The sequence below is a fragment of the Homo sapiens genome, chromosome 14 (genome assembly GCF_000001405.40).
Source record: "Homo sapiens chromosome 14, GRCh38.p14 Primary Assembly".
Lineage (NCBI taxonomy): Eukaryota > Metazoa > Chordata > Mammalia > Primates > Hominidae > Homo > Homo sapiens.
In genome coordinates, this window is record NC_000014.9 from 44,972,171 (window position 1) to 44,985,312 (window position 13,142).

The 13,142-nt window shown below is 36.2% G+C and overlaps 1 protein-coding gene across 9 annotated transcripts in view; it reads left to right on the forward strand.

Moving 5' to 3' along the window:
* TOGARAM1 (TOG array regulator of axonemal microtubules 1) overlaps positions 1–13,142 on the forward strand; it is a 112,242-nt gene that overhangs the window by 9,981 nt on the left and 89,119 nt on the right. The window lies entirely within an intron of this gene.

The window sequence follows — 13,142 nt, forward strand, 5'->3', positions numbered from 1 at the left end:
TTTGGGACAGGATACAAACCCAAACCATATCACCATCTTAATTTGGCCTGAGAGCAAATATTGTATGATTTCTATTCTTTTAAATTTGTTAAAGTGTGTGTGTGTTTTTTTTTTGCGATAGAACGTGGTATTTCTTTGTTAGTGTTCCATGTGAATTTAAGAAGAATGTGCAGTCTGTTGTTGGATAAAGTAATCTATAGATGTCAATTACATCTAGTTGATTATGATGTTGTTGAGTTCAACTGTGTCTTTACTGATTTTTCTGCCTGCTGGATCTGTCCATTTCTGATTGAGGGGTAATTAAGTCTCCAACTATAATAGTGGGCTTGTGTATTTTTTCTTGTAATTCTATCAGTCTTTGCCTCATTTAATTTGACACTGTTGTTGGGCACACATTAAGAATTGTTTTGTTTTCTTGGAATATTAATCCTGTTGCTATTATGTGAGGCCCCTCTTTATCCCTGATAACTTTTCTTGCTCTGAAGTCTGCTGTGTCTGAAATTAATATAGCTACTCTTGATTTCTTTTGATTAATGTTAGCATGGTGTACCTTTCTCCATCTCTTTACTTTTAATTTATATCTATCTTTATATTTAAAATGGGTTTCTTGTAGACAGCCTATATAGTAATTACTCATTTAAGTTCCTTGATAGGCTCTTGGAAACCGTGACTTTCAGTGAAATGACATACAGTAAGTCCTCAAATAACGTTATTTTGTTCAACATCATTTTGCTATAATGTTGATGAGGAAAAAAATTGGTTTTGTTATACATCGTTGTGCTTAAAGTGGCAGTCTTGAATAACTTATCAGTAACATTAAGTGAGAACTTACTGAACTTGGGTTTTGTTTTTTGACCACTCTGACAATCTGTCTTTTAATTGTTAGACATTTAAAGAGTTTATTGATATAGTTGGATTAATATCTACCATAATTGTTGTTTTCTATTTGTTGCTCATGATCTTTGTTCCTGTTTTTGTCTTCTGTTTTTTGGCTCCTTGTGGTTTTAATTGAGAATTTAACATGATTCAGTTTTCTCTTCTTTCTTAGCATATCAGTTATGCTGCTGCTCCTTTTTTTTTAAATTACTTTTTTTTAGTAGTTTCCCTAGAGTGTGTAATACACATTTACAACTAACTAATCCACGTTCACTTTCAGTAACAATATACTGCTTCACAGGTAACCCAAGTACCTTATAATAACAGAATATTTGTAATTTCTTCCTCCCTGTCACCTGTTTAATGCTGTCATTCATTTCATTTATACATAAACACACAGACACACACATAAGCATACATAATCAAATACATTGTTGCTATTATTATTTTGAATGATTTTCTGTTAGATCTGTTAAAAATATGAAAAATAAGTTTTTTTTTTAACCTTTACTTATTCTCCTCCAGTGTACTTTCTCTCTCTCTCTCTCTCTATATATACATATATATATATCTCTCTCCAGGTTTTTGACCTATATAATTTTCCTTTTCTCTGAAAAACTTCAATGTTTCTTACAAGGCAGGTCTTACTAACAACAACTTCTTTCAATTTCTGTTTGTCTGAGAATGTCTTTATTTTTCTTCACTTGTGAAAGATTATTTCCCAGGGTATAGACTTCTAAATTGATGGGTTTTTTTTTTCTCTCAATACTTTAAATATTCCAATCCACTTTCTTCTTCTTTGTATGGTTTCTGAGAAGTTAGATGTAATTCTTATCTTTGCTCCCCTATAGGTAATGTTCTGTTTTGTTTTGTTTTTCCTTTATCTTCTTTCAGGATTTTTCTTTATTTTTGATTTTTTGTAGTTTGAAGATGATATGCCTAGGTGTAGTTTTTCTGACCTTTCTCCTGGTTTTTCTCTGAGTTTCCTAGATCTGTGGTTAGGTTTCTGACATTAATTGGGGGAAATTCTCAGTAATTATTGCCTCAAATATTTCCTCTATTCTTTTCTATATTCTCTTCCTAGTAATCCCATTATACATATGTTACACGTTTTGTAGTTTTCCCACAGTTCTTGTATATTCTCTTCTCTTTTTTTCAGGCTTTTTTCTTTCAGTTTTGGAAGTTTTTATTGTCACATCCTCAAGCTCAGAGATACTTTCCCCAGCTATGTCCAGTTTACTAATGAGCCCATTAAAGGCATTCTTTCTTTCTGTTACAGTGTTTTTGATTTCTAGGTTTCTTTTGTGTTCCTTCTTAGAAGTAACGCTTCATGACTTATATTATCCTTTTGTTCTTACATGTTGTCTTTTTTCATTATAGCCCTTAGTATATTAATTATAGTTTTAGAAAATTCTGGTATGTTAACTTCAACATTCCTGCCATATCCAATTCTAGTTATGATGCTTGTTCTGTCTTTTCAGACTTTGTTTTTCCCTTTTACTGTGCCTTATTATTTTTTGTTGATAGGTAGACATAATGTAAGTAAAAGGAACTGTGGTAAATAGTTTTTTAGTAATATACTGTTAAGGTGTGGGAGGTGGGGAAGTGATCTATAGTGCTTTAATTACACTTTTGATGAGCGTAATTTTATGGTTGGCATAAAATATCTTAGCATTTTAAAAAAGAGAATTCTTGATGCCTTTACCCCTTTCGGTGTGTGTGTCTGGAAAAAAAAGTTAATACAACATTCCTGCCATATCTGATGCTGGTTCTGATGCTTGTTCTGTCTCTTCAGACTTTGTTTTTACCTTTCACTGTGCCTTATAAATTTTGTTGACAGGTAGATGTGATATACTAAATAAAAGAACTGTGGTAAATAGGTCTTTAGTAATGTACAATTAAGGTGAGGGAGGGGGGAAGTGTTCTGTAGTGCTTTAATTACACTTTTGATGAGTGTAATTTTATGGTTGGCTCTCCCAATTTCTTTAGCATTTTAACAAAGAGATTCTTGCTTCCTTTACCCCTCTCTGTGTATATTTTTTATATACCAGAAAGCAATAATTTTGCTCCAAATTGCTAAATGATTAAAAACAGAATTTTCCCCTTTCTGTGTATGTTTTCATTAGCCACTTTGACACAGATCAACTGAAAACATCCAATAACTACATTATACTGGAATGAATGAACTCAATGGATGCCCCCCCACCAGGTGAAAGCCTAAACATAATATAAAAATAAATACTGAGTTGAAGCAAGTTTTATTTTCTGTTAGAGGGAATAGCTATGTCTAATATAAGTTAATAGATTGTATTAGTTTTAGTGTCTTTGAAGGGCAGTGTGCATCTTGTTAAAGGACTTAGGTTCCATATTTTCTCCATATTCCATATTCTTTATTTCCTAAACCACCGTTCCCCTTTTTTTGTTTGTTTGTTTTGTTTTGGATGGAGTTTCACTCTGTTGCCCAGGCTGGAGTGCAGTGGTGAGATCTTGGCTCACTGCAACCTCTGTCTCCCAGGTTCAAGCCATTCTCCCACCTCAGCCTCCCGGATAACTGGGATTACAGGTGCATGTCACCACTTCTGGCTAATTTTTGTATTTTTAGTGGAGACAGGGTTTCACCATGTTGGCCAGTCTGGTCTTGAACTCCTGACCTCAGGTGATCCACCTGCCTCAGCCTCCCAAAGTGCTGGGATTACAGATGTGAGCCATCATGCCCGGCTTCCCCTGCCTTTTTTTTTTTTTTTAATGAAGTGGGTTTGAACCATTTTTTTTTTTCAAGTGACTCAAAACAACACAGCTTTGGTATTAGGACAACTCCCTTGTTAACAATATAAGAATATTGGATATAATATTTTGGTAGTATTGAGAGTGCCATGATTTATAAAATCTTCTTAGTGAAGTCAACTGGTGACTACATTTAGTAGTTTTCTAGCCCTGTTTATAGATTTTTTTAAAATTATGAGATATGGTAAAGATAAAATGATTCCTAGATCAACTATACTGATTTCAGAATTGGTCTTTCTAAGAATGAATCTGATCTTGTAACCCACCTTTCAGAGTTCTCAAATCTCACCCCGATAACACTCACTTTGATTAACATCTTTCATTGGCTCCAACAATCTTCAAGATAAAATACAGAATTCAGTAATAGCCCCCTTTCCCCTTACTGCTTCCACAAAAATTGCCCTATCCTTATTCGTTGCCTATCTACATTTAACCTATTGATTTTCTGGCCTTACATATGCTGGTCATTGCCTAGATTGCCCTTCCATATCCATCCTCTGACCCCTTTTTCCAGATAACATCTAATCCTTTGTTGCCTTATCTGAAGTCTTCTTTCATCACGTGCCCCATCTCATCCTAAGCTTTCCCTATCACAGTGCTTACTATTACAGTGAATTGAAATTTATTCTTCACAAGTCTTATTTCCCACTATACTCTGAGCACATTGAGAACAGAGATTATTTTAATCTTAGTATCCAGTATCTTTAGCACAGTGCTTGGCACACAGGAGGCACTTGAAGATGTTTGTTCAGTGAATTAAAGTTATCTCAAGTGTAGATCATTTATTTAATCAACCTTTACCTTTAAAAAAAAACTCTTAAAATAATACCTGAAATGTGATGTTATTAAATGTTTTAAACTTTTAGCTACCAGTCATCATGTGTATAGTCAATAAGACCAGCACATGATACTGGGGTTCTTATGTCTTATGTGAAAATCAGTGGTGAACATTTTGTTTTTAATAGTAAATTTAAGAATATGAAAGTGCTTCTTTGGTCCTATATTCTTACAGTTTCCTTCAGAAATAGTTTCGATGTCAGTTACTCCCAGAAGTATCTCTCCTTGCTAACTAGATTGGTTTACTAGCTCTCTACTTCTAAACCTAAAAATTAGTATTTTAAAAATACCAGAAAGCAATAATTTTGCTCAAAATTGCTAACGATTAAAAGCAGAACATTAAGTATACAATTATGTTAAATTGTTTTATTTTTAGTAATTGAGTGAAATTATGTGATTTCATTTCTAAACATATTTTTCTAAAACAAAGTAAAATTAATCAATGTAGCTATCAAATGCATCTAACTCTTCATATTCTGCTTTATATATATGATTGATTGACTAGAAATAAAATAATTTGGGCCTTCTGAAGCCTTAGCATAAATTGAAGAAAATTAGACAGACTTTTTTTTTTTTTTTTTTTTTGAGATGGAGTCTTGCTCTGTTGCCCAGGCTGGAGTGTAGTAGTGTGATCTCAGCTCACTGCAAGCTCCACCTTCCGGGTTCACGCCATTCTCCTGCCTCAGCCTCCCTAGTACCTGGGACTACAGGCACCCGCCACCATGCCCAGCTAATTTTTTTTGTATTTTTAGTAAAGACGGGGTTTCACCGTGTTAGCTGGGATGGTCTTGATCTCCTGACCTCATGATCTGCCCGCCTTGGCCACCCAAAGTGCTGGGATTACAGGCGTGAGCCACAGCACCCGGCCAAGACTGACTTTTTAAATAGAAAAATTCATAGCTCTTCCTATGAGACCCCACACAGAGAAATTTTAAATATGTTGGCCTTAAAGGTGTTAAATGTATGACATGCTTTAGACTTCTTTTTTTGAAACAGAGTCTCACTCTGTCACCCAGGCTGGAGTGCAGTCGTATGAGCTGCACTTGCAGCTCACTGCAACTTCCACCTCCCAGGGTCAAGCGATTCTCCTGCCTCAGCCTCCCAAGTAGCTGGGACTACAGGCGTGTGCCACCATGCCCAGCTAATTTTTTTTGTATTTTTTAGTAGAGACAGGGTTTCACCATGTTGGCCAGGCTGGTCTCGAACTCCTGAGCTCAAGCAATCCTCCCTCCACTGCCTCTGAAAGTGCTGGGATTACAGGCATGAGCCACTGTGCCTGGCCTAGCCTTCTTTTTGAAAAGAACTGGGCAGCACCACGTGAGCTGATTTAAGGGAAATAAAAATGGTTTCCGTTTTTATAATTGCTAACATGAGATTTTGAGGATAATTGGTGATTTGTGTGCTTGAAAACTGTAATGGCAACATTCACAAAATCGTTATAAGTTTTTAAAGATATGTGTATGGGCATATGCTTTCTGGAAAAGAGGGCACTGATAAAAGTAGTTTGAGAATCATGAAGAGTTAAGTTACCTCATTGGAGCAAAATACGAGGTATAGTTAGTTTTCTCCTCTCCTCCCAAATTCCACTGTGCCCTCCAAAAAAGGTGGAGCAGATTACAAAGGACAGTTGGCTGTTTGGAAAAAGAAAAAAAAATGTTTAGCTGATATTATCATTTAGTCTTTTTCAGTGAATACTAACCATACATGTATGACATATATATAAAAATGAGATTTTTGTGCCTAAATGTTTCTAATTTACTTAGACAAAAATGTGAAGATTAAAAGATAATATAGCAAATTAGAGATTTAAACATCAAATTACTGATAGAAGCAGTAGTTACTAAAAGAAGATCAAAACCAGGAGCAGTGGCACATGCCTGTAATCCCAACACTTTGGGAGGCCAAGGCAGAAGGATTGCTTGAGCCCAGGAGTTTGAGAGCAGCCTGGACAATATGGTAGGACTCTAAAAAAATACAAAAATTAGCCAGGCATGGTGGCACATGTCTATAGTCCCAGCTACTTGGGAGACTCAGGTGGAGGATCACTTGAGCCTGGGAGGTCGAGGCTGTAATAAGCTGAGATCATAGTGTCACTGCACACTAGCCTGGGAGACAAAGTGAGACCTTGTCTCAAAAATTAAAAAAAAGAGAAAAAAAAAAGAAGAAGAAGATCAAGAGCCAGGCATGGTGGCATATACCTATAGGCCTGTAGTCTCAGCTCCTCAGGAGGCTGAGACAGGAGGATCATTTGAGCTCAGGAGTTCAAGGCCAGACTAGTCAACATTGCAAGATCCCATCTCTCTCTCTTTTTTTTTTTAATGTCACTAACCAATCCTACATGTGGACAAAATAGAAATAACAGATAAAAAAAAAAGGTTAGAGTAAGATGAATTTTGATATAACAATTAGGAGTCAAAATACTGGATTCTAGTACCAGTTTAGCTTTGTGATTGTGGACTTGACATAAATTTTGTATCCCTAATTTGCTTACCTATAAGTCACCATTAATAATAATAATAATAATACTGTTTTCAAAGGCAGCTATTCTTCTTCCTGCTGCTGTAACAAAATGTCTTAGACTGGGTAATTTATAAACAATAGACATTTATTGCTCCCAGTTCTGGGGACTGGGAAATCCAAGATCAAGGCATTGGCAAATTCAGCGTCCAGTTAAGGCTCTCTGCTTCATAGACAGCACCTTCTTGCTGTGTCCTTATGGGGTGGAAGGGACAAACAAGCTCCCACAGGCCTGTTTTATAAGGGCACTAATCCCATACTTGAGGGTGGAGCCCTCATGACCTAATCACCTCCCAAAGGCCCTACCTCTTACTACCATCACGTTGGGGATTAGATTTCAACATGATTTTTAAGGGGACACTTATTCAGACTATTGCAGCAGCTAACTCTTAAATAGCACTTACTCTATGCCAGGCATTATTCTATACACAAAGGTTAAATAACTTCCTTAAGGTCTCTTAGCTAGTGAGTGGCAGAGCTGATTTGAATGTAGGCAAAATGACTCCAGAGTTGGTGCCTTAACCATTTCACTATCAAATGATCTATAACTAACCTCTTTTCTCTGTACAGATTTTTTCATTTGAGCACCTTGGGAAATTAGCAGAGAGTTCCTGAAAAAGGTGAATGTGACCTGCTTCTTGACAGGAGCTAAGGCTTCAAATGGTCAGGAAGGTAAAATGCATTCCTGGCAAGGGAGATGGCTTGAAGAGATGGCATAAGGCATGATACAAGAGTGTGCTTAGTATGTGATTCCTTTGGAATCCTCAGCTCCTAATGAACCACTGAGCCTCAGAGCAAAGTATATTAGTGTTATAATATTGAAAAAAAAATCTAGACTATGGATAACCTTATTTAGTAGCTGAAGCTGGCCTCCTCTGTAGTCTTAAGACTCCACATAGCAGGTCTCAGTACTTCCTTTTATGTATGTCACATATTCATGTGTCCTCCATACTCAGTTACAGGTCTGGCTCCTGGCCTGATTTGTACTGGCTCTTGGCCAGGCTCTCTGCTTTAACATTTACAGTCCACTGTTAATCTGTTATTTCTATCTTGTCCACATGTAGGATTGGTTAGTGACATTAAATACAAAATTTCCAGAAAAAAAATCATGAATATTTCAATTACATACTCCTGTAGCTCATTTTGGAGATAAATAGACCAGTTTGTTTGGAAGGATGATTTTTTAAATGTAATAGTGGCAGGCCGGGCGGGTGGCTTACACTTGTAATTGCACCACTTTGAGAGGTCAGTGTGGGTGAGGGAAGCGGAGCAGATCACTTGAGGTCAGGAGTTTGAGACCAGCCTGGCCAACATAGTGAAACCTTGTCTCTAGTAAAAATACAAAAATTAGTTGGGCATGGTGGCATGCACCTGTAATCCCAGCTACCCAGGAGGCTGAGGCAAGAAAATCACTTGAACCCAGGAGGCAGAGGTTGGAGTGAACCCAGATGGTGCCACTGCACTCCAGCCATGGCAACAGAGTGAGACTCGGTCCCCACCCTGCCAAAAGTAGTAGTGGGAAATATGATTACAAGAGTGAGGCAGGGGCTAGATTGGAGACTCTTGAATACCATGCTAAGGAATTTAACCTGTTATTTTGACAGTAATTTCAGATTGCTGGAGGGTTTTTGTTTGTTTCTCTTTTGGGGGAGGGGGTCTTTTCTTTTTAAAACAATGTTTAGAAAAATTAATCACAAAAGCAGCAATGTGTAGTTTAAACCAATTAGATACTTATTAGACTGATTTAGATGTGAGTTGTTCAGTTTTATGAGGATTAGCAGGGTATCAGGATTAGGAAAAAAGGGATGGATGCAAGAGATATTTCAAAGGATTTAGTGACTAAGTGTTGGAGGAGAGGAGAGGGAGGAATAACTAAAATTTGAACAAAGTAACTAAACTCATCATAGGTCCATGAAGAGATAAGAAAGTCTAGAAGTAGGAAATTAATTTGGGGGGAAATATGAATTTTTGGTGAAGGAAGATAGAATATTCTACTTGAATTAGAAGACTGTTATTTAAGAGACATGAATATAGCTGGAGATATAGATTCTGGAAGTCGTGTGCTGAAGTAATTGCTAAAACTGTGAGAATGGATGGGCTGTCCAGTGAATGACATACAGAACGAGAGAGAGAGGGTAAGATCAAATCTTGTTATATAAACCCATTTAGAGAATAGCAGTAGGAGATATAACCAAATAAAGCAAAGAGAAGTGTGCCCACGAGTTGGAAGAGAGCCAAGAAAGAAATAGGTTTTAGAATCAAAGTGGTGAGGGAGTTTCAAGGAGTCATCAGTGTTAAATGTGGCACAGAGCTTGGGGAGAATGAAAATTGGAAAGCACCATTTGTTCTTATACATTACAGCCTACTACTTGTAAAGTGATTTTTGAAGGTACTTTTCTCTTAATTTTATCTTTCTTAATGTCCTCTTAAGTTTTCTGATTGTAAAAAAGTTATACATGCTCATTATAGAAAATTTGAAAAATATGGGAAAGCACAGAGGAAAAGTTTGTGCTTTTTTGTATTTCAAAAAATTAATCTCACTCCTAGAGGTCTACAATTAATAATTTGTTTCCTATGCTTTCAGTATAATTTCAGTTTATGAATACAAGGTATAGATTCTTCTATCCATCAGTGAAAGCTTCCCCTTTTTCACTTACTTTTTTTTTTTTTTTTTTTTGAGATGGAGTCTCCCTCTGTTGTCCAGGCTGGAGTGCAGTGGCGCCATCTTGGCACACTGCAAACTCCACCTCTCAGGTTCAAGTGATTCTCCTACCTAGCCTCCTGAATAGCTGGGATTACAGGGGCACGCCACCACGCCTAGCTAATTTTTGTATTTTCAGTAGAGGTGGGGTTTTGCTATGTTGGCCAGGCTGGTCTTGAACTCCTGGCCTCAGTGTGATCCTCCCACCTCTGCCTCCCAAAGTACTGGGATTACAGGCATAAGCCACTGCACCTAGCCTGAACATTTTTTTCTTTAACATCAAATAATCTGTAATGGGATTTTTGATAGCTATTTAATATTATATAATATCGTGGTGTGTTTAACTTATCTCTTACTTTGGAATATTTAGACTTTTAATTCTGTTTTTGTTTCTGCTATTTAGTGGATTCTTTTTGTGCTCTGACATATTACAGATTGATAACCAGATTACTATGATATTTCAAGTTTGCATCTCTTTCTATGTATTTAGGAGTGTTTTAATGGGTTAGTGGCATCAAGTAAATCAGACATCATTAGCTGGCTACCATTTAGCTTTATTTTTCCTAACAGATTTCACTACAATGTGGTAGGAATCATAGTAGTCAGTAACCTAGACTAAAAAGTAAGGAGTATACTTGCTTCATGTGTATGTGGGCACGAGGTCTGTAGTTTTTTCAAGGTAGAGGAATTGATTATTGGAAGGTCACTGGGACATATAAAAGGGCAGTTTTAGTAGACTGTTACAGGCGGAGACCAAATTTAAAAGTTTATGAGGTGAATTGATGAGGAAACAGGCAGTAAGAAGTTATTCAGCATCTGTCTTTTTAATCATCTAATTTGTGCAAAACTGAGTGGGAGTTTATAAACTACTCTTTATAGCACTGCCGTAGGATTTTTGCCTCATTTAGTATTTAGCACATGTGAGTCATTTATTCCTTCTTCTCAATGATGGTAAACAGTATGATGGTAGGGACTGTTTTATTTTTTTGTTTAATTAGTTTTTGTTTTTGTAACAGCACTAACTACAGTGCTCTTCCCACAAATATCAACAAATACCTGTTAAATAAGAAAACATTTAAGGGTTTGACAGTGAAAGAAAAGACCAAGCAAGATAACAGCACAGGGATATAACAGGATAAGTTATTACTGTGCTTTATTTTTAAGTAAGGAACACCTGATTTGGAAGAGTCAGAAAGGAGCCATCTGTGAATTAAACATGCCGACTCTGTGTCTTTATTATGGTAGGTGTTAAACATGCAAAATGCAGGAGATTCAGTCTCTGCAGTCATACTGGAGAGGGAAAGGAAAGGAGATATGTTCCTAACTAAAGATTAAATGGGTCAAGAACACAAGTATAGAGAGAGGTTAGCTTTGGGATAGAGGAGGAAGTCTTTTTCTCTGAAGTTAAAGGAAAAACAAAGAGAAGATGACTTAAAATATTAAAAATTTTTGAGGTAGCAGGAAAGGGTGTGTGTTTTAAGTCAAAAGAAAGGAAGATATGAGTTTAGTGCAGTGTTTATCAAATTTTAATATGCAAATGAATTGCCTTAGGATCTTGTTAAAATACAGATTCTGATTTAGTTTGTCTAAACTGGGGCCTGAGCCTATATGTCAAATAAGCTCCTAGGTATTGCTGATGCTGGTGGTCTGTGAACCACTTTGTGAGAACAAGGCTTCCAGATTCTGTTAAACTAAGGGGCAATTAAAAATGAAAAATAGAACATTAGAGATTTTAAGAATGTGGGATTTAGAACAGTTAATATAACAAATTTGATAAGAAATTAGAAAAACTAAAATTATTAAATTGTACTAATGTGTTTGGTATGGGTTAATCCTAAAACTTGAGATTTTCCTTGGATGTTGGATTGTTTCTGAAAAGATTTAATTTTCTTTTTAAAATTATATTGTGATGCATGAAGAGTTTTAAAAACTTTTATTTTTTATGCTTGTGAAAATCATAAACGACACAAAAGCATATCTACTCTTAGTGTAAATGTTGCTTATGTCAGAGCTATGTAGAATGAACTGTTGGCAACAGGATATTTTACAGCAGAAAATGTAGAAGCTACTACCGGTATGTAAGTTTTTTGAGGCATTTGTTTTAGTCACCTTGCATGAATAGTGGGTAAACTAATTAAAATTTGGAGAACAATAAGAATATTAATTGCTATTTTATTTTTCATGTGGAAATTGAATTTAAGAAAGAGTTTATAGGACAAAACTTGTTATTACCTTAACATATGATTATGAGATATGTGTCTACAGATAAATGTTACAATGTTTATTAAGAGTAACAGTATTTAAAGCAAAGTAAGAAAGTGAGAATATCCATATCTTTTAGAAGAAATAAAGCGGTTAAAATGATTTAAAACAGACTAAAGACATGGAAAATATTTTAATGGTACATAATAATAATAATATTAAAAATATATCCATTTTTGTGAACTCACCATTTCTGTGATTGTTAATATATCTTTAGACACATACAAACATGGAATTAGATAACATCTAAAATTTCAAAAATTTTAAATAAATTTAAACATAATTAACCTTAAAAGTATATTAAATAAGACAATGTATATATTATATTTATTGTTATCATCTTAAAAAAGCTGTAACAGCTAGAGGCAGTGGCTTGTGCCTGGAATCCCAGCAATTTGTGAGGCTGAGGCTGGAGGATCACTTGAGGCCTGGGCAATATACGAGACCCTGTCTCTAAAAAAAAAAAAATGCAAATAAATTAGCTGGGCGTGGTAGTGAGTGCCTGTAGTCCCAGCTGCTTGGGAAGCTGACGTAGAAGGATCGATAGAGCCCAGGAGTTCAGGTGTGCAGTGAGCTATGATCGTGCCACTGCACTCCAGCCTGGGTGACAAAGTGAGACCTCATCTCTAAAAAAAATAAAAATAATTAAAAATAATAATTAAAAAAGAAAATGGAAAAAAGAGCTATACCAGTTCCCTTAATAATGGGCAAAGCATATCGATTACCTTGTATACATATTTCTATTTCCCTGTAACTTTTGTACCTAGGAAAATGTCAGCTTTATGTATTAAATACAACTTTACCCAAATAAACCAACTTTTGTTTCCTGTCAGACACAGAGAAAACCAAAAGTCATGTAACCAAAACTATCTTTTTTTTTTTCTGAGATGGAGTCTCGCTCTGTCACCCAGGCTGGAGTGCAGTGGCGCAATCTTGGCTCACTGCAACCTCTGCCTCCCAGGTTCAAGTGATTCTCCTGCCTCAGCCTCCTGAGTAGCTGGAATTACAGGGGTGGACCACCACGCCTGGCTAATTTTTGTATTTTTAGTAGAGACGAGGTTTCACAATGTGGGTCAAGTTAGTCTCGAACTCCTGACTTTGTGAACCGCCCGTCTCGGCCTCCCAAAGTGCTGGGATTAACAGGCGTGAGCCATTGTGCCTGGCT